General features: G+C 33.0%; 1 long non-coding RNA gene across 1 annotated transcript in view; it reads left to right on the top strand.

The window, feature by feature from the left end:
- The window catches only part of LOC105371671 (uncharacterized), a 147,500-nt gene that overhangs the window by 31,408 nt on the left and 90,080 nt on the right, over positions 1–26,012 (top strand). The gene's annotated exons all lie outside the window — the stretch shown is intronic.

Here is a 26,012-nt window from a genome sequence, read left to right as displayed (position 1 = left end):
AGAATTTCTGATCACTCTACTTCTGGTGTCTCCCCTTGCCTGATTTTGTAAGCAAAGTTTTGCTGAAACACAGACACAGTCATTTGTCTATGGCTGCTTTTGAACCACAGTTTTAGAGTTGAATGGTTGCTAGCTAGATTGTATATGCTGCAAGCTTAAAATATTTAATAACTTTTCCTTTATAACAAGTCTGCAGACTCCTGTTTTAGAATTTTTGATGAACATGATATGTTGCAAAATAAAGTGTCTTATGTCTTTTGTTCTGACATATAATCCATTTCTTTCTTTTTATTGTTTTATTCCACTGGCTTGAAGATGATCAGTAAAATGTCGCATAAAAATATTGAAAGTGAATATTCTTGCCTTACTTCTAGTCTTAGGAAAAATGCATTTCATTCTCACCCTAATGTATGATGCTAGCTGTATACAAGAATATATTTCCCTTTTTAGCCCCCCTCCTTAAACTCCTTGACAAACATTTATACTTTTCAACAAATTTTAAATGTATTCAGCCATTATTTTTTCAAATATTTTACTATTGTTTTTCTCTTATTCTGGAGCCCACATGTATATATATATTCTAAACCAGTTAATATTTTCCTGATGCTCATTGAAGCTTTATTTAATTTTTAACATTTCTTTCCCCAGGTTTAATTTTAGTTTCATTGTTATGGCTTCAATTTGCTTCATATTTTTTTCTGTAGTGCCTAATTTGTTATTAACCAAAAATAATGAATATTTCATTTCAGATTTTGTATCTTTATATCTAGTAGTTTTGTTTTGGTTTTATAGTTTTTGCTTCTCTTCAAATATTCATGATTTCATTATAAATATTAAGCATATTTATAGTAATCATTTTTAAATCATTTTCATTAGCTTCATTTTTCTCTTAAATGTGGTTTACCTTTTCCTACTTCCTTGCATGTTTAGTACTTTTGGTGAATTGTTTGACATTGTGAATAGAATGTTTTTGTGTGTATGTGGTTTTCTAACCTTAAATAAGAAAAATAATAGTGAAGTGGCAAATATATCAAACTGTGCAAATATGCAATATACAGTAGTGCTACAATTACCAATAAAGAATGACCAACTTAGCAATCATTCAAGAAAATCCAATTTGAAACAATCAACTTATTCCTCAACCAGGAAGTAAGACTTATGTACCTTACTAAGAAATTAGTAAGAGTTTAAGTGTTTTCAGTAGAATAATCTTAAAAAATTATGATCCAGGCAGTTAATGAAAAAGTTAAACAAAATGCCGAATGTGTAAACATGCCAGTATCCACAAATGGTCAAGGCGAGTTGTTAAGTGAAAAATGGCAGTTTCAGAAAAGTACATAATATATAATAAATTGATACAAACACTACACATACCACACAATTACCTATTTCTACAAGTAAAAATCATATCAATATATTCAAAATAGCCTGAAAGAACTCATATCAAACTAATAATGGTGATTATTTATGGGATTCAGGAAAGGACAGGGCAAGTGTAGATTAAGTGTTATTGAAAGCTGGAACATTAGATTTAATTTATGGGCGTATTTTGCCTTTTTTCTATAGAATTTCAGCTATTTTTAAAATATGAAAATTCCCTTTAGATAATTAAAATAAAGTAGTTGAAATGGATAAACACTAATTAAAGGGTTACTCTCTGTGGGAGAGTGATGGTGGGTGAGATATTGAGAATGGATAGGAATCATTGATGCTTTGGCCTATATACTTCAATGTCATTTGCCTACAAGATAAACTACTTTTACATTTTTCAAATAATGCAAATATAATTGTGTTATGCAGAGACCAGCACAGTTTTAAAATGATAAACATCAGAAAGTAAATATTTTAGGCTTTGAGGGCAATATTATCTCTATCATAACTACTTCTCTTTGTCATTGTGAGAAAACATATATTGTTGCCTTTTTTTTTGAGACAGGGTCTTACTCTGTCACCCAGGCTGGAGTGCAGTGGTGCGATCTTGGCTCACCGCAGTCTCCCCGTCCCAGGTTCAAGCGATTCTCCTGCCTCATCTCCCAAGTAGCTGGGATTACAGGAGCGTGCCACCATGCCTGGCTAATTTTTGTATCTTTAGTAGAGATAGGGTTTTGCCATGTTGGCCAGGCTGGTCTCAAACTCCTGACCTCCAGTGATCCTCCCGCCTCGATCTGCCAAAGTGCTAGGATTACAGGTATGAGCCACTGCACCCCCCAGAAAGCAGATATTGACAATATATAAATGAATCAGTTTGGCTGCTTTCCATAAAATTTTATTTGTCGGCTGGGCGCGGTGGCTCATGCCTGTAATCCCAGCACTTTGGGAGGCCAAGGCAGGGGCGGATCACGAGGTAAGGAGATGGAGACCATCCTGGCTAACACAGTGAAACCCCGTCTCTATTAAAAATACAAAAAAAAAATTAGCTGGGCATGGTGGTGGGCGCCTGTAGTCCCAGCTACTCGGGAGGCTGAGGCAGGAGAATGGCGTGAACCCGGGAGGCGGAGCTTGCAGTGAGCCGAGATCGCGCCACTGTACTCCAGCCTGGACGACAGAGCGAGACTCCGTCTCAAACAAACAAACAAACAAACAAAAAACACTTTGTCAAAATAGACGGTGGGCTAGATTTGACTTTTGGACTGTAATTGGTCTGCTAGTGCTATGAGTACTTCTATTACTGTGTTTTTGTAGAGAAAAAAAGCAATTTATATGTGATTATCTGCGCTATTGTAATGACATCAGATACATTTTGTGTAAAATGTATAGTGACACATCATATTAATTTAAGAATATGATTAAAAGTCTATTTGAATGATACAATTAAAACTATAGTCACCTTTTCCAATTCAAAAGATATTAGTAATATTTGCATAAAATTCACTTGCTACTGATTTAATCAAAATGCCACTCACATTATACAAAATATCTATGAAAATATAAAATATGAAACTTAATAATTAAGAGGAAAATGCACGCATATTTGAAAAAGTTTCTTGTAGAAAATAAAGTATAATTTTAAGACACATTTAGAAATGAGTTTCTAGAGAATTACACACCGTCTTATTTTTTGCAAGCAGTTCTAAGGTGAGCATAAAATTATCATTTGATATACTTGAGTTAGCATGTCACACAAAATATGCAAATCACTAACATATTGTAATATTTTGCTGAACTAAAGTCATGTGTTTGAACTAGAACATGAACCAACATCTTAATAGCTAAAAGGTCTCTTGAATTACTTAATTTTGAAACACTGATTTATGATGCCATAAAAAAACTAATGGAGCATATCTTTATTCTATCTGGAAATATGTTTTCTAATTCTGTCTTTTAATTTACAAAAACAACTCAGGCTTATTATGTCTAGCAGCTTTACAAAAGAAGGAAACAATGAGACATATTGACATTTTTTTCAGAATGAGAAAATGATCAAAATGATTACTGCAATTTAATGAACACCAATTATATGCTGTTAATTTTACATGTCGTATCTAATCTAATCTGCAGATAAACCTCTATGGCAACTAAAGTTACCACCACTTTACAGACATATGGAAAGGAAACTTAAGTTGTTACCATGATTGTGATGATAAATAGTGGAGATAAAATTATTTTAGCATCGTGCTATCTTCTAAGAAGTTATTTTTTCCACTACACTTTGTGAGTTCTCCTCGAAGAAGCCTGTATTATCCAGCTAATTTCCAGCTGAATTCAAAATCAATATGATCTGTTCTTAAAATCTTCATATCTATGGTAAACTAAGGAACTGTCATCTTTTGGTAATTATTTTTGTAAAGCAGCATTGTACATTAAAAAAACAAAAGCCTTTAGCTATATGGCCTAAGGCAAATTTACTTAACCTCTATGAACCTCATTTGTCTGATATGTAAGAAGGTAAAAATAATAACACAAGAACGACAGCAACTATAGTGACAACAACCACAACTCTCAGAGGAGTTTTGGAAATTAAATATGAAGGAAGTGGAAAAATATTTTAAGTTTAAACTCAGTATGTAAAGGGAAAATCACACATGACCAAATTTAGATTGAAATTTCTTAAATCATCCATCACATTGATTTTGTTCTTTCCTGCCACACAGTGATAAAGATAATATGATGAGTTCAATGATAGTTAACCTGTAGACAATGACTTTTTTATTAAAAAACTCTATTTTCCCCCAAATATTCTGATATTTGCATATTGTTGGGAGATAATTCTCCATAATTTTCAAATTTCTGCACATTTTGAATCCAATTCTGTTTTGGACCATCTGTTCAAGGATGTTAAATAAAAACAGCCTAGAAATACAGAAACAGTGTATCCCTCCAAGCCAGGGTTCAGAATTATTTCTTGAACAGAATAATTAAGGTAATATTTCCTCTGGGGGCAGAGTTGGGCAACTTTCTAGCATCACCCAGCTGTGACTGAAGATTCCTAACCTTAGGCATCCTCAGATGTAAGACAAACCTATTGAGTGTGCACATGGATCTGGGCCCGTCTTGCCATCATCCCTGTGGTACTGGGATAGGGGAGGCAAAAGGAACTGATGCGAATGCTACCATCTGATCCATGAGTGAGAGACTCCTTTGTTTCTGACTCAGGAATCTTGTGTTTTCCATAATGCTGTAGCAGGATAACTTGTTAGCTTTGAAGTAGGGAATGACTTTTTATATCCTTCACAAATTTTAACATGTATGAGACACAAATTTTCTGCAGAGCGGGTGAGTTTAAGGTTTTGTTTTATTGTGTATCATATAATTTTTAAAAATTTAAAATTCATCTGATCTCAAAAAATGGTCTCTTTTATAAAAAAAAGTATGCCTTTTTGGTTGTTTATGAAGTTTGTGGTTTGTAAATTGAACTTGGGCAAGTAGCTTTTTGCCTGAAGAAAAAAATATATATATTTCGTAATTAATTTCTAAAGAGTATAATAAATAAGGAAAGAGAATTTTGATGTTCTTTCCAAAAGCAGTTTTTTAAAATAGCAATCATTTAGAAATAATATTTGGATGAAACCTTTCAGGCAAAATTATAAGTCCCTTCAAATTTAATTTCTTTTTTTTCCTCAACATGTATATGATCATAGTTAGATATCACATTGTAATCTGACATATAATTTCTCAGCAAATTTGATCATGTATTTCTCTTCAATTTTGAAACAGTTTTTTTTTAAATTTTCTGTTTCATATAAGCACCAGATAAGATAGTTATTAAAACCATCTTGGAAAATATATGTGTGCACATGCACATATGCACACACACACACACACACACAAACTTTAAAAATAAAATTCACACTCCAGGAGGCTATATTCTCTCAAGTGCTCAAGAGAAGTGCTCAAGAACTGGGCTGCTGGCAGACATGGCAGTCTTTCCCCAAGACCCATACCCAGTAGGTTGATCAACAAGTAGAATTACCACATTTCAATTTTAAATTCTTGCTTTCTTGTCTTTTTTTCCCCTGATGACTTTCTTCTTTCTTTGTCTTCTATTTTCTATCTCTCTCATCTTTAAGCAACTTTTCTGTAATTATATTATATATGCAAATAATGAAAATGCATTGCTTTTAGTTTTAAAAATTTATTATTTGTTTTATTATATTGTCCTTGAACTGGAAAGACAGGCAGTCATAATTCTGGGTATCACAAAGTCAGTATTTGTCACTGTCAAAAATTATACTTATTTCCAAAAGACTAGTAATGACATAGTTGCTGAATATATTGATTTTAAACCACCAAATGGCCAATCAGTTGCCTGTGTGACTCCCCAGATATGATGCTACCTGCAAATATTTGGGAGTTGCTACACCTAAAGTATTCCTAAGTGCAGCTTTCCTGCACTTGAATTTATAATAATGCAATAAATTCACAAAACAAATTCTCAGACATTTAGTGTCTATCAGAAATTATTGGGTCCCAAACCAAGAAAACCTGGGTCTGAAATACAGCTTTATCATTTATTCACTGTATAACATTGAAAAGGTTAGTTAACCTTCAGTTTCTTATCTCTAAAATGGAAATAATTATTAACATTTATTTATAGTACTGTTCAGTATTAAATGAGGTAGCATGTATTAAATAAATAGAATGGTTGGCATGTATTGATCTTGACATTGCTAGGTACTACTATTGCAAATGAACCCAGGGGCTTAGCAAAGGTCACAGATTTGAAACTACATCACAGCAATTTTTACTGCAAATGACCAGCTTGTGTCCCTATAAATTCTAAAATAGATTCTGAACTTTGCTCATTGGGTGATTGTCAGTCACTTTTGTTGTCATGACATCTATCTTATTGTATTAGTATTATTTAAAAATTAACAGGTGTTAAAAATAACAGTTATTTCATGGATAACATTTTCATTAACATATCATATATTTTTAAGTGTGTACATTGTTAAGTAAAATTCATCATCTTTCATCTTGTGTTGTTTTGAAGTTTATCTTGCCTCAGCTATTAATTTCAATGAGATTTCCAACTATATTTTAGCACAATTATTAATAGTCACTTGTTTAAAAACTACAGAAACTCATTTGGATAATAGATACTACCAATTATATATTAGGGTTATTTTTTAAGAATAGTCAAAAGAATAAGATAGCAATAGCATAAAAGCTATTAAACTCATCTTATATAGTATAAGATGTTATACTCATGTTATAAAGTAGCATTAAAACTCATCTATGTAGCTAATTATAAATGGAGGCACATAAAAAATACTGGAAGCCCGGAGGATCTAAACAGATAAGCATGAATAAAGAAGGCAACCTAGGGTAGGACATGTTAAGGTACTGTATTTAAATTCAAATTGCAGAAAAGCCATATTTTATCATGGCTTTGTGGCTGCCCTCTTGCTTTATTCATAAATTTCTCCATTAGCTTTATTGTCAAAAGATTTAAAAGCACATTTTCAGAGTGTGTCCCATACCCCTCCAAAATCTCTAAACAATTATCCTTATGTTGGGGCTCTATTATTCACCACATTTCTTTTACCAACTTTGTGTCTACCATTTCTGAAAACCATTTCCCTTTCCCATATGTCAAAGGTCTTAACTATCTACTTCACATCAGCAGAACAAGTTTTCTATGTCATTTTACACTATGTAGATTTAGCATATCATCAAAATGATTTAATACATTTGTATTATGTCAGGTTTTGTTCTTTTCCTCTTGTTCTTTTAACAAAATAAGATTATATTATCCCTCTAAACTCTAAATCATTATCCTGTGTTGTCATAATTCTTCCTTCCTTGAATACAGTTATTAATGAAACTTTGTTAATATCCCAAAATAGCAGCCACTTTTATAATATAGATGTAATCCCAGGCCCTTGTAATGGGCATAATTGTTGGATCCCAAGTTAGGGAACCTTGGATGCAGCATCATTACACATTTAAGCCTATAAATAGAACTATTTTAGTTTCTTATAGTTTTTCTTTCTCTTTCAGATTAATTTGATTTTTTGGATCAACTTTTGCATGGAGATAAATTTATTCTTTGTAGATCTTGCAGAGCTACTTAATTTCCTTTTAGTAAATGATAATAATAAGTAGCAATATATCAAAAGCCATCTACAACAATATAATAAATATAAAAAGTGAAAAATAAATTTGAAACATACTTAGAAACTGAAAGCAGAGACTAATATAAAGTGAATAATCATCAACTTTACTTGATTCATAAAGTTTTATTTTTTGTTAAAATAAATCTTGAAGGTTTGGAATAGCCTTTCTTGCAACAGTTAATGGCTGCTCTTTTTCTATGTTTGTATTTTTAAAATTAATTAGACTTGTCTGATAAATGCAGGTGGTACAGTTTAATTTGAATTTCAGATAAATGACAAATATTGCATGGGGCACAATTATACTAAAAACTTTTTCTTTGTTTATTTTAAATTCAAATTTTATTGAAGTTCCTATTTTTAATTTACTAATCTGTAAACCCTAGTAATTATAATAAATGGAAAGTTACTGAAAGCAACAATGTTAATATAGAAAAGATATTCTTTGAAAAATCCATTAGCTTTACATACCAATTTATTATAAATGAGAATTGTAATGAATTTTAGAGATATGTAATTCAAGTGTGTTGGGTATATTAGTTTCCTCTAAATTATTATTGTTCAGACTACTTTTTCATAAAAAATCATCATTTATAGTTCATGGCTAGGAGTTTAAGTATGCTGCTACTTTATTTCAAGAATATTTTTAAAGCCTTTTATACAAATATAAAGATGGAATAAGTTTGCAACAATCAGATAAAGATACTGCAGTGGCAAGAGAATAGCCTCCCGCTAAATACTAGTTTCTTTTACAGTATTTCTAGAGTATGATGATAATCACTGTATTTTTATCAATATTCTCATTTCCTAGTTTACCATCTCTAGTTGTTTTAACTCTTTTGCATCCAGCATGCGTTCATTCTACTTGTCATTGTAATCACCCTCTTTTTGATACATTCTAATTTATTATCGCCTTCTATTCTCATCTGGTCATCTCGGAAATTTGTTAAATCACCAGACTCCACATTCTGAAAATTGTACACGTGTAAAGCCTGCCTAAAATGGTGTCTCAGCTTTTTGAATAGATACATTGTAAGATTATATTGCTTCATGTTATTTTTAGAGTTAGCTAAAAGCCTTCACTCTTCTAGGTATGTATTTCTTGCAAATCTCTGTTTGTCTTCACATTTTACTGGTTGGTTTAGTTTTTTCATTTGTTTGTTTGTTTTTAATGCAGGAATTTATAGTTATCTCTATAAGAATAGCTGATATTCTGCCAAAATCATTCATTTTGTCAACAGTCAAACTTGCTTCTTTTGCCTCTTAGCTTTCTCAAGTTCCTCAAATCACTGATTTTTTAAAAAATGCTGTAGAAGATTACTGTGGTAGGAAGAATAGTGACTCTCACAGATATCCACATCCTAATCCCCAGAACCTGTGAATCTGTTACAGTCCATGGCAAAAGGGATTTTGTTGATGTGACTAAGTAAAGGAACTTAATGAGGGGATGATCCTGGATTATCCAGTACGGCCCAACCTAATTATATACCACTCTATTGGTATAAAAGGACATGGGTCCTTAAAACTGAAGAATCATTCCTGGCTACAGTCAGAAGATGTGAGTATGGAAGAATAATCAGAGAGGTGAACTGTTGCTGGATTTGGATATGGACCAAGGGGGCCACAAGCCAAGGAATTGGGGACAGCCTCTAGGAGCAGGAAAAGGCAAGGACAGATTCTTTCCTAGGACCTCCAGAACACACACCTTTATGTTAGCCTGGTTAGACCCATGTCACACATCTAACCTACAGAACTGTAAGATGATGAATTTCTGTTGTTTTAAGCCACTAAGTTCGGGAGAATTTGGAAGCTAATTCACCAATAGGATACTAATAAAATTACCTTTCCTATTTGATTTATAATCACTAGTTCTGAGATCTCTTGGTACCAATTTTTAATTACATATTCATTGATCTAACTTATGTCAGCTTGAAAATGGAATAACTGAATTTGAAAACAGAACAAGTGGCTTTATTTATTAAATTAAACATAAAGTTATTTGGTTAAATTATAGATAATATAGCATTTTCCCAATGGTTCTTGGATATTGAAAAGAGCATTGTGCTCGAAATCAAACTAATGAATTATTGGTAACAAAATAAAATAGCTTCAAAGGATTTCATAATAAAAATTAGGGAGACTATATGTAACACAACATTATGAAATGGAAACATGTTATCTGAAAGTTTTCATTTTAATTTAAAGCAATGATTGTAAAAACTTAAAGACAGAAAGTGTATAAATTTGGTCTTTAGGTCTTTTTGCCTATGATTAGAAGTCATTAGTGTTATGGGATTTTTGTGCGATGTCCATTTGCATGTGTTGCTAGGAGATTATTGTTTTGTTTCCACTCTTTATGTCACATTATATGAGAGGACAATTTGCTCACTGCTTAGATTGGGAAAAAGCTCATTGAAAGCACAAATTAAAATGCTTTAGTCCTAAATGACACAGGACACCTAACATTTATACTTTATATAAACTACATGCTATGCCTATATATTGGAGTAAAGCTACAGATAATTGTCTATGAAAATAAATCTCAAAGTGTTCATATATTGTCATATATTGTATAACAAGGGTTGTTTGCTGTGTCACTCAAAAATGTAAACTTAAAAGTAGATGAGCACCATGGTTTATGTCAATTTCTGGTTAAGATCAGTTGAGGAGTGGTAACATGTTCCCAATATCAAATACTATACAGGACACAATTGTTGATACAAGTGAAAAAAAATCATGAAAATTCATAAAGATTCAGCAGCAAAAAAGGTGCTACTGGAATAAATATGCACATACTGGGATAAATAAGTAAATGCTTATATGAAACAATTAGTAGCCGAGAAACTTAATTCTTTCCTGAGTTTAACATCCTAAACAATATTACCAAGGAATTCTTTCCATGAATTTTTTACAGTTTCTAGTTTCTATATACAATTTTCTAATGGGCACATTAGTTGTCAGTTGCTCTTTTAATAGATTGCCCCCAAATTTCTTGTCTTAAGACAACACAAATGTATGAACTTGCAGTTCCGGAGGTTAGAAATTTGAAATAGGTCTCACTGTGCTAAAATCAGACTCTACAAAACTGCATTTCCTCTGGTGGCTCTAAGGGAGAATTGGGTTTTTTGCCTTTTCTAGCTTCTGGAGGACACTGCAATGTTTGGTTGTGGCCCCATCCTCCTTCATTTTCAGTGTATATCACTTCGACATCTTATTCCATCTCCACATCTCATGTACTCTGACCTTCTTCCTTCCTCTTGTAAGGACCTGTGATATCTCAATCTCAAGTTTCTTAAATAATGATATATGCAAATCTCTTTTGCCACTTAAGGTCACATATTCATAGGCTCCGGGATTAGGGCATAAGCATTTTGTGTGAGCATTTTTTTCCTACACATAATTACTCTTTTCAGTTTAATGTATCTTAATGAAATAATCGGTTTTTCAAAGTTAGCCACTGAAATAATTTATATATATAAATATATATACATATATATAATTTTTTAAAAAGCTATTATTTGGTAAAGGTTTATTTGTATTATAGAGTGAAAGCTACAGCCAACTGAAAAGAATGCTTGTATATATGTCAGTTAGGTTCTTTTCAAAAAGAATCGGGAAGCAAATGCTAAGACTGGAGTTTGGATAATTGAAGAATGAGTTACTCTAGCTACCTGCCACTAGCAAGCCATTATCAGTCTTCCAGGCAAGCACCCGGGTAGACTCAGGTTTTAGGGGTAGCTTGTGTTCAACAGTGAACCCTCACACATACCTCTTGGCTTGGCTGGAAGAAAAGCACTATGCAGTTGATGACTTGATGTTAGACATAAAGAAAATAAATGTAATTATTTTCTTATTTGGCCAGATGATAGGAGAGCAGTCTTAGTTTAATTAACTGCTAGATTCTCTGGCACTCCAATTTGGAATTTATTTGCTTTTCTCTGCTTATCCAAAAATTCTGCTTTCCCACCCAACCTAATACAGGGCCTTCTTGATTGCAAGTCCAAATGATTATCATTCTAATTACAAATATCTATCAATACAGGTCTCAATTGCTGCCAATTATGAAGCACATTTGGCCAATACATAGATAAATTTTATACGAGAGTGATTTTAGCCTAGTATAATTATCATACTTGGCAACAGATTTGCATGTATAAGAAAAGTGTCAGTACTTATTAACATTTTCTATAAACAATCAAGTAATCAATGTATTTACACATCCTTATATGCAAAAGCAAAGCACATGATAAAAATACACTTATCTTAATTTTGACTTAAATAATATTCAGTATTGCAATATCAGTGCACTGTTGGATAAAATGAAAATAAAGTTAGTATTTAAAAAACAAGTGATAAAACAACTCAAGGAAAAGGAATATTCTAGGCAGAAGTTTCTTTTCTCTGTAGATACAAGATAGACTTTCTTTGCTACTCTTTAGAAAATTATAATTAGGCCAGTGTGGTGGCTCACGCCTGTAATCCCAGCACTTTGGGAGGCTGAGGCAGGCAGATCATGAGGTCAGGAGTTAGACCAGCCTGGCCAATGTGGTGAAAACCCATCTCTACTGAAAATACAAAAAAAAAAAAAAATTAGCCGGGAGTGCTGGCAGGCACCTGTAATCCCAACTACTCAGGAGGCTGAGGCAGGAGAGTCACTTGAACCCAGGAAGGCAGAGGTTGCAGTGATCCGAGATTGCACCACTGCACTCCAGCCTGGGCAGCAAGAGCAAGACTTCGTCTCAAAAAGAAAAAGAAAAAGAAAAAGAAAAAAGAATAACTAAAGTGACTGAAGATTTGGTAATAATATTTTTTATCTAAAAAACACAAAAACCTTTCCTTTCTTCTAAGATTGTTTTAAAAAAATAATTTCTTTGCTGTCAAATATCAGCCTTTTAATAGTACTGAGAACATAGTAACAGTAATAGAAGAACAATGTGTTGAGGTTATCTTCCTTGCCCTGGTACCTTCAAGTAAAGAAAGTTAACTGCTGAGCATGGCAGTGCTCAAAGAATTCATGTAGTGAGCAGCTGCCTTCTTTGGGAAAACATGTGTTTAAAAATACCTTCTTCTCCAGGTAATTTTGCTTTTGCAGTCTAAGAAGTTTCAGCTGCTCTCAAGGACAAAACTCAAGAAATCAGGATGTTTTGATAGAAACTGCTGTAAATAGTATAATGGCCAAAATGAGTGTTTTGGCTGTGTCAATATAAAGCTAATAGATCAATAACTTTGATTATACATTCAATTCTGTCAAATAATTTAGACTAGTTTCTACATACATGATTAAAGTTTTAATGGACCAACCGTATTGATATACATTTGCAGAGGTATATCAAAATGTTTAATTTTCCTAGTTCTGAATTTTGAATTAAAATCAAAGTCCCAAGTTTGGAAGTCATTACTTAAAAGTATGGGTTTAAAGATAACTCTGCTAAGTAGAATACAGAGAATATTCTAGCTATTTTTAAAATCATTTCTGCTTTTTGATGGCAATGGTTTTTGATAATAAACACAATGTTTGAGCCAATAAAATAATGGTCACAAATAAATAAACGTCAGAGGCAAAATTAATTATATAGATAGTTACTTAGATTTTTTTCATCTTTGAGAAAACAATGTATTTTTAGAGTAAAATTTAATAACACATAAAATAGAATTTATCTTTATAAATGCCATTCCATATGTAAAATTATGATTCACTTTTTACAATCTGGCCAGGGATTTTTTTTCTTTGCTTGAAAAGAGAAAAAAAAATTAACCATATTTTGCTCATAATATATCAACTAGGTTAATATTTCCAAACATCTGTATAATTGGTCTATATTTTCACATTTAATTCATGTCTTTTTCAATTAGGATTTATATTTTTGTTAATCCTCTTTAAGTAAAAGATTCTTCATAGTTCATATAGTGCTTGATTTTAACAACTTTAAGTTATAACTATAATGCCACAATTAACCAATTTAATAAGGGTGAAATAAAAAATAGTTAATTTATTAGAAATAGTCAGTATGAATAGTTGAGCACAACATTCAATTTTTTTTTTTGCTAATTTTTGGCATTGTATAATCAGATCCTAAGATTTGCATCATTATTGATGCTTCTAAATTTTGAAAACATAATTTCAGAATGCAAAGCAATCTCAATTTTTGATTCTCTCCATTTTTGTTCAATTGTGAATTGAGTTTCAAGAGATTGACACATTCCACTGGAAATACATATGTCAGTATATGTGAATCTTCTGTCCAGTTAATCTGATAAGTAGGGGACATAACAAATTACAAATCAATTCCATCAAACTTATTACAGTAGTCGATTTAACACATTTCAATTTTATAATTAAATAATGAATATTTGAGCACCTCGTTCCATGCTGTCAAAATAAACACATTTAATCCATATTACACTTCAAATTACTCTATTTGGACTCTAGTAGCTCATCTATCCCAAAGCACATTTTCTCAATGCTCACTACACAAACAGATGTGTGTTAACAAAGGTATAAAGGTATATATATCAAGATCATTCCTCCAAGAAGTTTGAAATGATTTCTAGAGTTTGAGACACAAACATGTCACCATAATCCAAGGTGATTACTACTGTGAATAATAATTAAACTGATTGTTATAATAGTCCAAAAAGGCAGAATATATTTAACGTCAACAAGACATCATAGAAGAGGTGGTGACTCAGATTTTGAAACATGGTGTATGTTTTTTTAAAGTACAGTGAAGCAATTTTAGAGAAGCAAAAATGTTAAAATAAAGGCATTGTGTATGAAAAACACAATGCCTTTTTTGTGAATGACTATTTCAATAGAAAGGAAAGTGAGATTTATAAATGATAGTATTGATATATAAAGCTGGAAATAGACTGGGACTTGGAATATACATTAATACTTTACAATTTTAAACTAGTTATTATCATAAGAAAAATGTTTTTTTGACTGGAAAACCAGTTAGAATTAATAATTTAGGATATTAAAGCAGAAAGATAATTAACTTATTTTTGGAGCATATAGATACTAATATAAAAGAGGTATAAAACAAATAAGGCTGGGCATGGTGGCTCACACCTGTAATCCCAGCACTTTGGGAGGCTGAGGTGGGTGGATCACCTGAGGGTCAGGAGTTTGAGACCAGCCTGGCCAACATGGTGAAACCCCTTCTCTACTAAAAATACAAAAATTAGCCAAGCGCAGTGGCATGCGCCTGTAATCCCAGCTACTCATGAAGCTAAGGCAGAAGAATCACTTGAACCTCGGGAGGTGGAGGTTGCAGTGAGCCGAGATCACACCACCATGGTCCAGTCTGGGTGACAGAGCAATACTCCGTCTCCAAAAAAAAAAAAATAAAAATAATAATAATAGTGAAGTTAGGAGAAGGAAAGAACAATGATAAAATCAAGTGTAGTGTTATAAAAGCTAAGGACGACACTGGGTAGCAAGGAAGAGACCAACTCCATTCTTTGGAAATAACTGTTGAAGATAATGGTGTTACTTTGGGAAAGTTAGACTTTAATTCTGGTATGTATGTCAATACGAATATCACTGAAAAAATGTAAACATATACATTTGTCAATCACCATGAAGCAAATACAAAAATATAATGGGATGAGGAGATTTGTGAAAGACTGAGTACAAAAAATAATAGTAGAAAAATAAGATGCATTGGGTGATTTTTTTGTGCTGATGCTGTTACCATATCATTAAGGTACAGGTAGCAAGGTATAGTATAAACTGAAAGAAGGTAGACATGTGATAAGATTAAGATTAGACTGGCATTTTGTTTTTGGAAGAGATTTAATCTCAATTTTTCAACTAGAATCCCTTCTTTTTGATAGACAGTGTTCAATAGTTTCAATTATGCCATATTTTTTTTTCTAGCATGACTATATACAGGATTTAATACATCCTCTACCCTGGTGCCATAAGTCAGCCCACACATATTTCGGCTCCTCCCTCTATTCAAATTTAAATGGAATTGTTAAAGCTCTTCTGTGTTTTGGTGCCCATGCATAGATTCTGAAAATAAATGGGAGCCTTTATTTATTGCTCAAGCCCCTAATCTAATGATTACCATATATGTAAAACAACACAAACTATGAGGTCAGCTATACCTGTGTTTGAAATCAGCCAGTCGCTTTCATTCACAGCTTCAGTGTTATTATTGGCAAAAGGAAGATAACAGTATCATCCTTCAGGGTTTTTACTGTAATTACGGCCGATGTATTAAAGTGATACACATAATCACAATTCAATAAATAGCAGTTATTAAAAACCTAGTGCAACTGTATGAAATCTTAATGGTATTGTATGTTTTTATCACTTCTGAAATACCCTGTTATAAGTAATAGATACCATGAAACTCTTCTATTTAGTAACACAAATCACCAAGAATATGTTTAAGATAACTTGACTTCTTTAAAAAGTATACTATGAAGCTTTTAAAATGTAAGTAATCATATTTTAAACAATTATAATTAAAGTAAATGTTAATTTTCCCAGGTGTTTTAAAGTATTGATAGTCAGTTTGTACCAATAACACATCATATCTTCTATTTTATGTAGCAGGAATATTTTAATGCTGCCCACCTTGACTTTAAATGTCACAATAAGCAAATATCTCTAAAAAGCATGTCTTCCTTTACCCTTAATTAAACATGATTTAACACACATTAATTTAACTCAGCCCTTTAAAAAGCAAGTTTCAGCTCATCCATTTATCTTACATTTTCTACTTGAATTACTCTTTATGTTTCTAAGTTTTAATGATATAAAACTGACTTAACTGTATGACTCAGTTATAAAAATTTAATATTGGAAGCTTAACCCTTCACTTGTAAAAATCGGTAGTTCAACTTGATGTTAATTTTTCATTATTATCTTAATATTTTCCTCAAATTAATCTTTTCATATTATGATAATAAAAATATTAGGCTATTAACACTAGGAGCCATTTAAAGTTTAACCTCTAAAGCTTATAGAAGTGAAACAAGTCTCTTCTACCTGCGTAGCAGCATTCTAATATATCAGGATGATATGAACCTCCTTCATTCCTTTGAAAATTCTGGGGACCGAGTAGAATTTATGGTGAAAGAAAAAACAGTTAAGGAAAAAGTTGCTGCTTCCCTTGATGAATAGCTTGGCTTAAGGAGAACAGAGTTAGCAGGTGTACTTACTGACCTGGAAATCAAGCCATTTAAGCAGTGCTAAAAACCAGTGCACTAGAACTGCTTTAGTTATACTATTTATATATTAAATTATTTAATGGGATATTGGAAATGAGCCTTTCAGGAAAATAGCATGTAGTGTTATTGAAACATAAAGCCTATTTGTATGTCTGTGTGAAGTGTTTAAAATGTGCCCTTTAATGTGATAATGTGTTTCATTAAAACACAACAGAAAAGAAAATGTTTGAACTAAAAGTTCAGGAGAAGATATACTTAGAATATGCTTCCTGATTTCAATAAGTGCCAATAATCTAAACCCATTTGTAGATACTAATTAAAATTTAAGATCAGAATTATGATCCTTTATTTCAGAGAGAGGTTACTTGATTATTTGAATGATTCTCACTCGGTTATTTGATTTTCATTTTCTTATTTTGGACATGTTTTATACTCTTATAGTTTAATGCATAGAAATACTGTCTAGTTGCTGTGGCCTTTTGTACCTGCATATTATCTATGTTCTAACATTAATTTTACTATCATTATCTAGCAAGATAATTATATTGATAGAGGCCTAATATAAAATATAAAATTGATTGAATCGGAGAGGAGGAAAAAATGTTTCAGGGTTATTGGGCTGATCTTTATAAGTGTAGTTTGATGCAGGTATTCTATTGTCCTTAGAAGTTGATGAGATTTACTACAACTTTCCTTATGTGTGTAGAATTTCTGCCTTTAAATTGTTACTGAGATAGCACTTTCAACATTCCATTATCTTGTAATCTAGAATATATTTTCTACATATTTCCTCTAGATATACAGACTGGAGTCTGAGTGTCTAGGTTTAAGTCCAAAGTCCACAATTCACTTTTTAAAATTGGAAAAGTGCATAAACTCCTTCTGCCTTAATTTTCTCATGTTTCAACAAAGACGATAATATTACATTGTTATGTAGATTAAATAGTATTACTTATATATGGTTTTAAAAATCATGGTGTTATTCCTCTTGGAATTACTTGTCACAGTTACCTCAAACTCATTTGCTTACATTTTACTGTTTGTTGCAACCTACAACCTATACTTGATTGTGTTCAGGTTTGGACTCCTTAAGGTCATTTCACAAATGACTTCTTAAATAAACTCAGTAATTCTATTTTATATTCCATAAATTTGTAAAGGCTGATACTAGAAAATAATCATTTATATTATTTTTAAGGCAACTTAACTGATGATGGTAAACCACTAAATAGGCTTTTCTGGTAGCTTAATCAGATTTAAAAATACACATGTTTCAAAAGAACATGGATAAGTAACAGTTTATTCATACAAAATACCATTTTGCGATTAAGATTAATAACCTGGAGCAATACATATCAGCAGGGTGGATCTTAGAAACAGAATAGTGAGTGAGTAGCTCCCAATAAAGGGGAAGGTTTTAGTATATGTCAACATTTCAGTTCAAACCTTGGGACAGACCTTCATGGAATCCACTTAGAAAGCTTGGGGACAAAATAAATACAGATCCAATTCATTGCTTGCTGACATAGCCTATGACAGGGCATAAGAAGTCTGAAGTTTAAAATTAATGTATTCCCAGATTCTGGTAATGGCAATGCATTTTTAGATTCTGTTGAGGCTCAGAATTGTGTGTGAAAGAAAGCTTTTACTTGCCAGAATTAATTCTTTTTAAGTGAGCTGCTTGAAAATGTAAAAAAACTTCAGTAGAAATAAGAGTAGATGTATAGGAAAGCTTGTGATTTTTGCACATTGATTTTGTATCCTGAGACTTTGCTGAAGTTGCTTATCAGTTTAAGGAGATTTGGGGTGGAGACAATGGGGTTTTCTAAATATACAATCATGTCGTCTGCAAACAGGTAATTTGACTTCCTCTCTTCCTATTTGAATACCTTTGTTTCTTTCTCTTGCCTCATTGCCTTTGCCAGAACTTCCAATACTATGTTGAAGAGGAGTGGTGAGAGAGGGCATCCCTGTCTTGTGCCGGTTTTCAAAGGGAATGCTTCCACCTTTTGCCCATTCAGTATGATATTGGCTGTGGGTCTGTCATAAATAACTCTGATTATTTTGAGATACGTTCCATCAATACCTAGTTTATTGAGAGTTTTTAGCATGAAGGGGTGTTGAATTTTATTGAAGGCCTTTTGTGCATCTATTGAGATAATCATGCGGTTTTTGTCATTGGTTCTGTTTATGTGATGGATTATGTTTATTGATTTGCATATGTTGAACCAGCCTTACATCCTAGGGATGAAGCCAACTTGATCATGATGGATAAGCTTTTTGATGTGCTGCTGGACTCGTTCTGCCAGTATTATCTTGAGGATTTTTGTGTTGATGTTCATCAGGGATGTTGGCCTGAAATATTCTTTTTTTTGTTGTGTGTCTGCCAGGTTTTGGTATCAGGATGATGCTGGCCTCACAAAATGAGTTAGGGAGGAGTCCCTTTTTTTCTATTGTTTGGAATAGTTTCAGAAGTAATGATACCAGCTCCTCTTTGTACCGCTGGTAGATTTTGGCTGTGGATCTGTTTGGTCCTGGGCTTTTTTTTGTTGGTAGGCTATTAATTATTGCTTCAATTTCAGAATTTGTTATTGGTCTATTCAGGGATTCTATTTCTTCCTGGTTTAGTCTTGGAGGAGGTGTATGTGTCCAGGAATTTATCCATTTCCTCTAGATTATCTAGTTTATTTGTGTAGAGGTGTTTATAGTGTTCTCTGATGGTAGTATGTATTTCTGTGAAATCAGTGGTGATATCCCCTTTATCATTTTTTAATGTGTCTATTTGATTCTCCTCTTTTCTTCTTTATTAGTCTGGCTAGCAGTCTATCTATTTGGTTAATCTTTTCAAATACCAGCTCCTGGATTCATTGATCTTTTCTGAAGGGGTTTTCGTGTCTCTATCTCCTTCAGTTCTGCTCTGATCTTAGTTATTTCTTGTCTTCTGCTAGCTTTTGAATTTGTTTGCTCTTTCTTCTCTAGTTCTTTTAATTGTGATGTTAGGGTGTCAATTTTAGATCTTTCCCGCTTTCTCCTTTGGGCATTTAGTGCTCTAAATTTCCCTCTAAACACTGCTTTGGCTGTGTCCCAGCGATTCTGGTATGTTGTTCTCGTTGGTTTCAAATAACTTATTTATTTCTGCCTTAATTTCTTTACTTACCCAGTAGTCATTCAGGAGCAGGTTGTTCAGTTTCCATGTAGTTGTGTGGTTCTGAGTGAGTTTCTTAATCCTGAGTTCTAATTTGATTGCACTGTGGTCTGCGAGACGGTTTGTTATGATTTCCGTTTTTTGCGTTTGCTGAGGAGTGTTTTACTTCCAACTATGTGGTCAATTTTAGAACAAGTGCAATGTGGTGCTGAGAAGAATGTACAGTCTGTTGATTTGGGTGGTAGAGTTCTGTAGATGTCTATTAGCTCTGCTTGGTCCAGAGCTGAGTTCAAGTCCTGAATATCCACGTTAATTTTCTGTCTCGTTGACCTGTCTAATATTGGCAGTGGGGTGTTAAAGTTCCCACTATTATTATATGGGAGTCAGAGAGCCAAATCACGGGTGAACTCCCATTCACAATTGCTACAAAGAGAATAAAATACCTAGGAATACAATTTACAAGGAATGTAAAGGACCTCTTTAAGGAGAACTACAAACCACTGCTCAAGGAAATAACAGAAGACACAAACAAATGGAAAAATATTCCATGCTCATGAATAGGAATAATCATTATCATGAAAATTGCCATACTACCCAAAGTAATTTATAGATTCAATGCTATCCCCATCAAGCTACCATTGACTTTCTTCACAGAGGTAGAAAAAACTACTTTAAATTTCATATGGAATCAAAAAAGAGTCCGTATAGCCAAGAAAATCCTTAGCAAAAAGAAGAAAGTTGGAGGCATCATGGTACCTGACTTCAAGCTATACTATAAGGCTATACTAACCAAAACAGCATGGTACTAATACCAGAAAAGATATATAGACCAATGGAACAGAACAGATGCCTCAGAAATAATGCCACACATCTACAACCATCTGATCTTTGACAAAACTGATAAAAACAAGCAATGGAGAAGGGATTCCCTATTCAATAAATAGTGTTGGGAAAACTGGCTAGCCATATGCAGAAAACTGAAACTGGACCCCTTCCTCACACCTTATACAAAACTCAAGATGGATTAATGACTTAAACGTAAGACCTAAAACCATAAAAACCCTAGAAGAAAACCTAGGCAATACCATTCAGGACATAGGCATGGGCAAAGACTTCATGACTAAAACACCAAAAGCAATGGCAACAAAAGCCAAAATTGACAAATGGGATCTAATTAAAATAAAGAGCTTCTGTACAACAAAATAAACTATCATCAGAGTGAACAGGCAACCTACAGAATGGGAGACATTTTTTTCAATCTATTCATTTGACAAAGGACTAATATCCAGAATCTACAAGGAACTTACACAAATTTACAAGAAAAAAAAAAACTACCCCATCAAAAAGTGGGCAAAGGATATAAACAGACACTTCTCAAAAGAAGACCTTTATGTAGCCAACAAACATATGAAAAAAAGCTCATCATCACTGGTCATTAGAGAAATGCAAGTCAAAACCACGTTGAGATATCACCTCACACCAGTTAGAGTGGTTGATCATTAAAATGTCAGGAAACAACAGATGCTGGAGAGGATGTGGAGAAATAGGAATGGTGGGGAGTGTAAATTAGTTCAACCATTGTGGAAGACAGTGTGGCGATTCCACAAGGATCTAGAACCAGAAATACCATTTGACCCAGCAATCCTATTACTGGGATATATATACCCAAAGGATTATAAATCATTCTACTATAAAGACACAAGCACACATATGTTCATTGCAGTATTGTTCACAATATCAAAGACTTGGAACCAACCCAAATGCCCATCAATGATAGAATGGATAAAGAAAATGTGGCACATATACACCATGGAATACTATGCAACCATAAAAAAGGATGAGTTCATGTCCTTTGCAGAAACATGGATGAAGCTGGAAACCATCATTCTCAGCAAACTTACACAGGAACAGAAAACCAAACCCCACATGTGCTCACTCATTAGTGGGAGTTGAACAATGAGAACACATGGTCACAGGGATGGGAACATCACATACCAGGGCCTGTCGGGGGGTGGGGGTCTAGGGGAGGGATAGCATTAGAAGAAATACCTAATGTAGTTGATGGGTTGATCAGTGCAGCAAACCAGCATGGCATGTGTATATCTGTGTAACAAACCTGCATGTTCTGCACACGTATCCCAGAACTTAAAGTACAATAATAATAATGGAAGAGTAGGGGGTATTTCCCAGTACATGGGGACTGAGAAAGAAGCCAGCAATAACATGGACTCATGTTTAAAAATCATTATTGATCCAGAGAACCATGGGCATTAGGCTACTGGACCTCAACAAAATAATCTGGGGATCTCAGGGCTGATATTTCTGGCTACTGTGGATGGAAACACTTATAGTACCCTGCTTCTTCCAGAAAACCACACACACACAAATGTAAAACTAGACAACCTCTCAGAACACAATCATTTGTGGACTCTGTTAACTGACAAAGGAAATCAATAACTCCATCCTGGTTTTCCTATAAACCTTCTGCCCATAGCTTTTTAGTTCTCATTATTGAATCTGTTTCTTTTGACAGATTATCAAATATCAGTTTTTGAGTGTTTCATGTTTCCTTTTCCCATTTTCAGAATCGTCAAGCATTTTTCATCGAATCTCATTATTTTAACCGTATGTACCAATGACTCCTGATTAGATATTTTAAACTCCATCTTTTTAGTTCCAAGCCCGGAACTCTAATTGCTACTGGACATCTCTACCTAAATATAATAAAGGGGGTTTCAGATAACATGTAAATAACATGTTCATTATAATCAACCACATACACAACTTATTCTTTGTCTTATATATCATTTTCAATTTAGTGACTTCATCTATTAAGTAGTGATGCAAGTTAAGGCAATCTTGGAATCTTCCATCTCTCTCATTCAATACAATCAATAAATCAACAACTGCATTCACAGTTTTCAATATTTACTGCCTTGCCAAACTCCAGGAACTTGTTTCATCTTGCCTTAACAATTGTAATTGCTTCCTATTTCTTTCTTTTTCCTCCAACATTGCCTACTTTAATTCATCAAAACCTTTCCTGACTTTTATATGCTCAGCGAAGCCTTTTATTTTGTACTCTGTCCATTAAGGCCAAGTCTACTGATTAGATCATACTTTGCTTATTTAATTAATTTTTAAAAATTGATTGATAACCTTGTATATATTTATAATAGACAACATGATTTTTAAGTTATATATACATTGTGAAATTGTTAAATCTAGCTAAGTAACAAATGCATTACCTCATATAATTCTTATAAGACTGGACAGTAGAATAGTGGTTACCAGAAGCTAGTTGGTTGCAGGGTTGGGAGGTTTGGAGATGTTGGTCAGAGGATACATAATTACAGTTAGACAGGAAAAATGAGTATAAGAGTCTGTAGTTAACGATTATATATTTTATTCTTGAAAAATAAAAACAGAGTGGATATGAAATGCTTTTACTTATTTAACTTTTATCAGCTGATTTCGACACTTTGAAGACACAGGACATGTTTTAGTCATTTTTGGTTTTATAAAATCGAATATTGATCCTCTCTTATAAGAGATGAAGATGCAGTCATTTCTGACTATATGAATTGATATTTATATTTTTAAAATAGTTGTTTATTTTTTATTCAACCTACAGTCAAATTTAATAACTGTCATTCATATGTATTTGAAGTTATTATATTGATTTTATTTAGATGGACCAAATCAAGCATTTCCAGAGTGAAAAATAATAAATCTTATTAAAATATACTGAGTAAACTGGGCTGCTCTTAGCTGTAAGAGAGAGAAAGCACAGTTTAAACTGGATTAAACAAGTGGAAATTTATTGTTCAGAAAAAAAAGACATTCAAAAGTTGAGGTGGAGGTAGGGGTAACATTAGCTTGTCTATGTTAGTTTAATCTACAGGCTTGGAGGAAGTAGCTGCAGTAATTTTATATGTCACAACCAAATTGTGACCCCTTATGGAGCACACATAGAAACGATGTGCTTCAATGACTTTCTTAGGCGTGAGAAAAAAATTTTGATAAATCTTGTGACTAATTTTCTCTTATTTTTCATTGGCCCTTATTTGGTTACCTGCCCATTCATAAGCCAATCATTCATTCTTGGAAGGAAAAGTATTACTATATTTGTTTTATAAGAATCACAATCTTAACTCCTGGAACTTGAGGTGGGGGCCACATTTCCCTGGATCATGTGAGAATGCCTGAAGAAACTAGATTGATTTTAGTAAGTAAGAAGTGGGAAAAGGACATGAGGAATTAATTAGCACAGAGCTTATACACAGCCAAGGCTACAGGACTCTTCTTGGGTCCACCTTCCTCTTTGTCTCTCTGGTGGAAAGTGCACTGTTAGTAGGGCTTAATGGAGTAGTTACATACATAATGATTTATTTATCTATTGGTATGATTCTCTAAATACTGTCTGATGTTTTCCTTCATCTTTTACATCTTGTACTACTAATTTTTAAGATTTCAGCTTCCTTTGAAGTTATAGGATCATTTGATTTTAGAAGCTATATGGCATGTGAAGAAAAATGTAAAAAAATCACATGCTTCAGGCTTGCATGTACTTTGTCACAGCTAATTTCATGATTCAGCTTTTCAAGAAAGTGAACTCTATTCATTCTTGGGGTTGGTTTTGCAAATGTCTTTTCAAGTTAAATAACCATTTAGAGTTGCCTCCACTATTATACACAAGGACAGAGTTTAGAAACCAAGATCTTAAAAACACAGTGAATTTTTGAATGAAGACACTTTGAAATGATGGTGTTGGTGCTAGTTTTCATCTTTGCTTCTGGGATATAATTTTACTTTCTTCCAGAACATAAATTGGTAGAAAGAATCATTATAAACAGCAATGAAATTATACAGTTGTAATTTGGGAAAGACTGATGTTTTAATTAATTTTGTACACAGGACACTAACATTTGCATTCCAAAAATGCAGTTTTATGGATATAATATCCAATTTAATTTTCATATTATTTTATTCTAGAGAGTAGAGTTTCCTCAGTTGGAAAATTGGTGAAAAATTCCATTTTCAATCAGTTATGTTTATTGCTGTAAAGTATTTGATAGTCATAGTTGCTATTCTAAAATTATTTGAAGATTAATTATAATATAATTTTAGTGGGGAAGAAATTTAGCAGACAATGTAGATTATTTTGCTCTCCTAGAAAATTTATATTTAAATGAACTGTATTTCTATATAATGCAATTTCAGCATATTGTGTGCCCTGTAAAATAAATGAAACCTCAATTACTGCATGTTGCAGAATCAGTACTTGTAAAATGATATCTAGGGAATTTCACTTCTACATACCAAGCAAAATGTAATGTTAGTAATACTGTAACTTACCAACAGTTGATTTTCTTGGATGGGAGGTGAGCAAGTTTTCATCAAAATGTTAAGTAAATAGTTTGAATAAAAAAAGAGGACATGTTAATATTTTCACTGTTCTCTGCACTGAAAAATTTCATTCTCTTAACTTCTTATATGTCAACTAGTAAGTAAAACACTAGAATGATGGTCACAGTATTTAAGACACTCATTTCAGACATGGTGTCCATACCAGCTCTCTTGAATCATGGATATTTACTATAAAAACCTGAATTTCAGAACAACTACCTTATCACTTTAGAAATACTACCCCCTCTGAAAAATAGCAGTATTGGAATAAAAAAGACTCCTGTGTAATGCTAGTAGTAAAAGACTTTCTGTAAAGGGACATTGAGTAGAACTTTGAAGGAATGAGAGGAAGAATGACTCACTAAGTTTATCACCAGTGCACAAAAACTGTTATGCAAGAGTCACAATGTCAATTGATTTGGAACTGTGTGTGCACATACACATTACACACACAAACACACACACACGCACACATTCAGTTTTAAGCCTGAGTGTTCCTAGATGAAAGAATCCCAGGTTAGAGTGTTTAAGCCAGGGCCATAAAATCAAGTTACAACTTATAATTTTGAAGTAAAATTCTACCACGGACAACAGTTATCCAGAGTCACACTCACATTCATACGGTAGCTCCAAGATGGAATGCAATTTGGCTTTTAAATAAAATCACTGTATGCCAAAGACATTCAAATAACCAACAGAGTACTAAGAAGATCGTACTT

This window comes from Homo sapiens, chromosome 1 (genome assembly GCF_000001405.40).
Source record: "Homo sapiens chromosome 1, GRCh38.p14 Primary Assembly".
NCBI classification, from domain to species: Eukaryota; Metazoa; Chordata; class Mammalia; order Primates; family Hominidae; genus Homo; species Homo sapiens.
The sequence above is the reverse complement of the archived record's forward strand: the minus strand, read 5'-3'. Positions and strand labels throughout refer to the sequence as shown.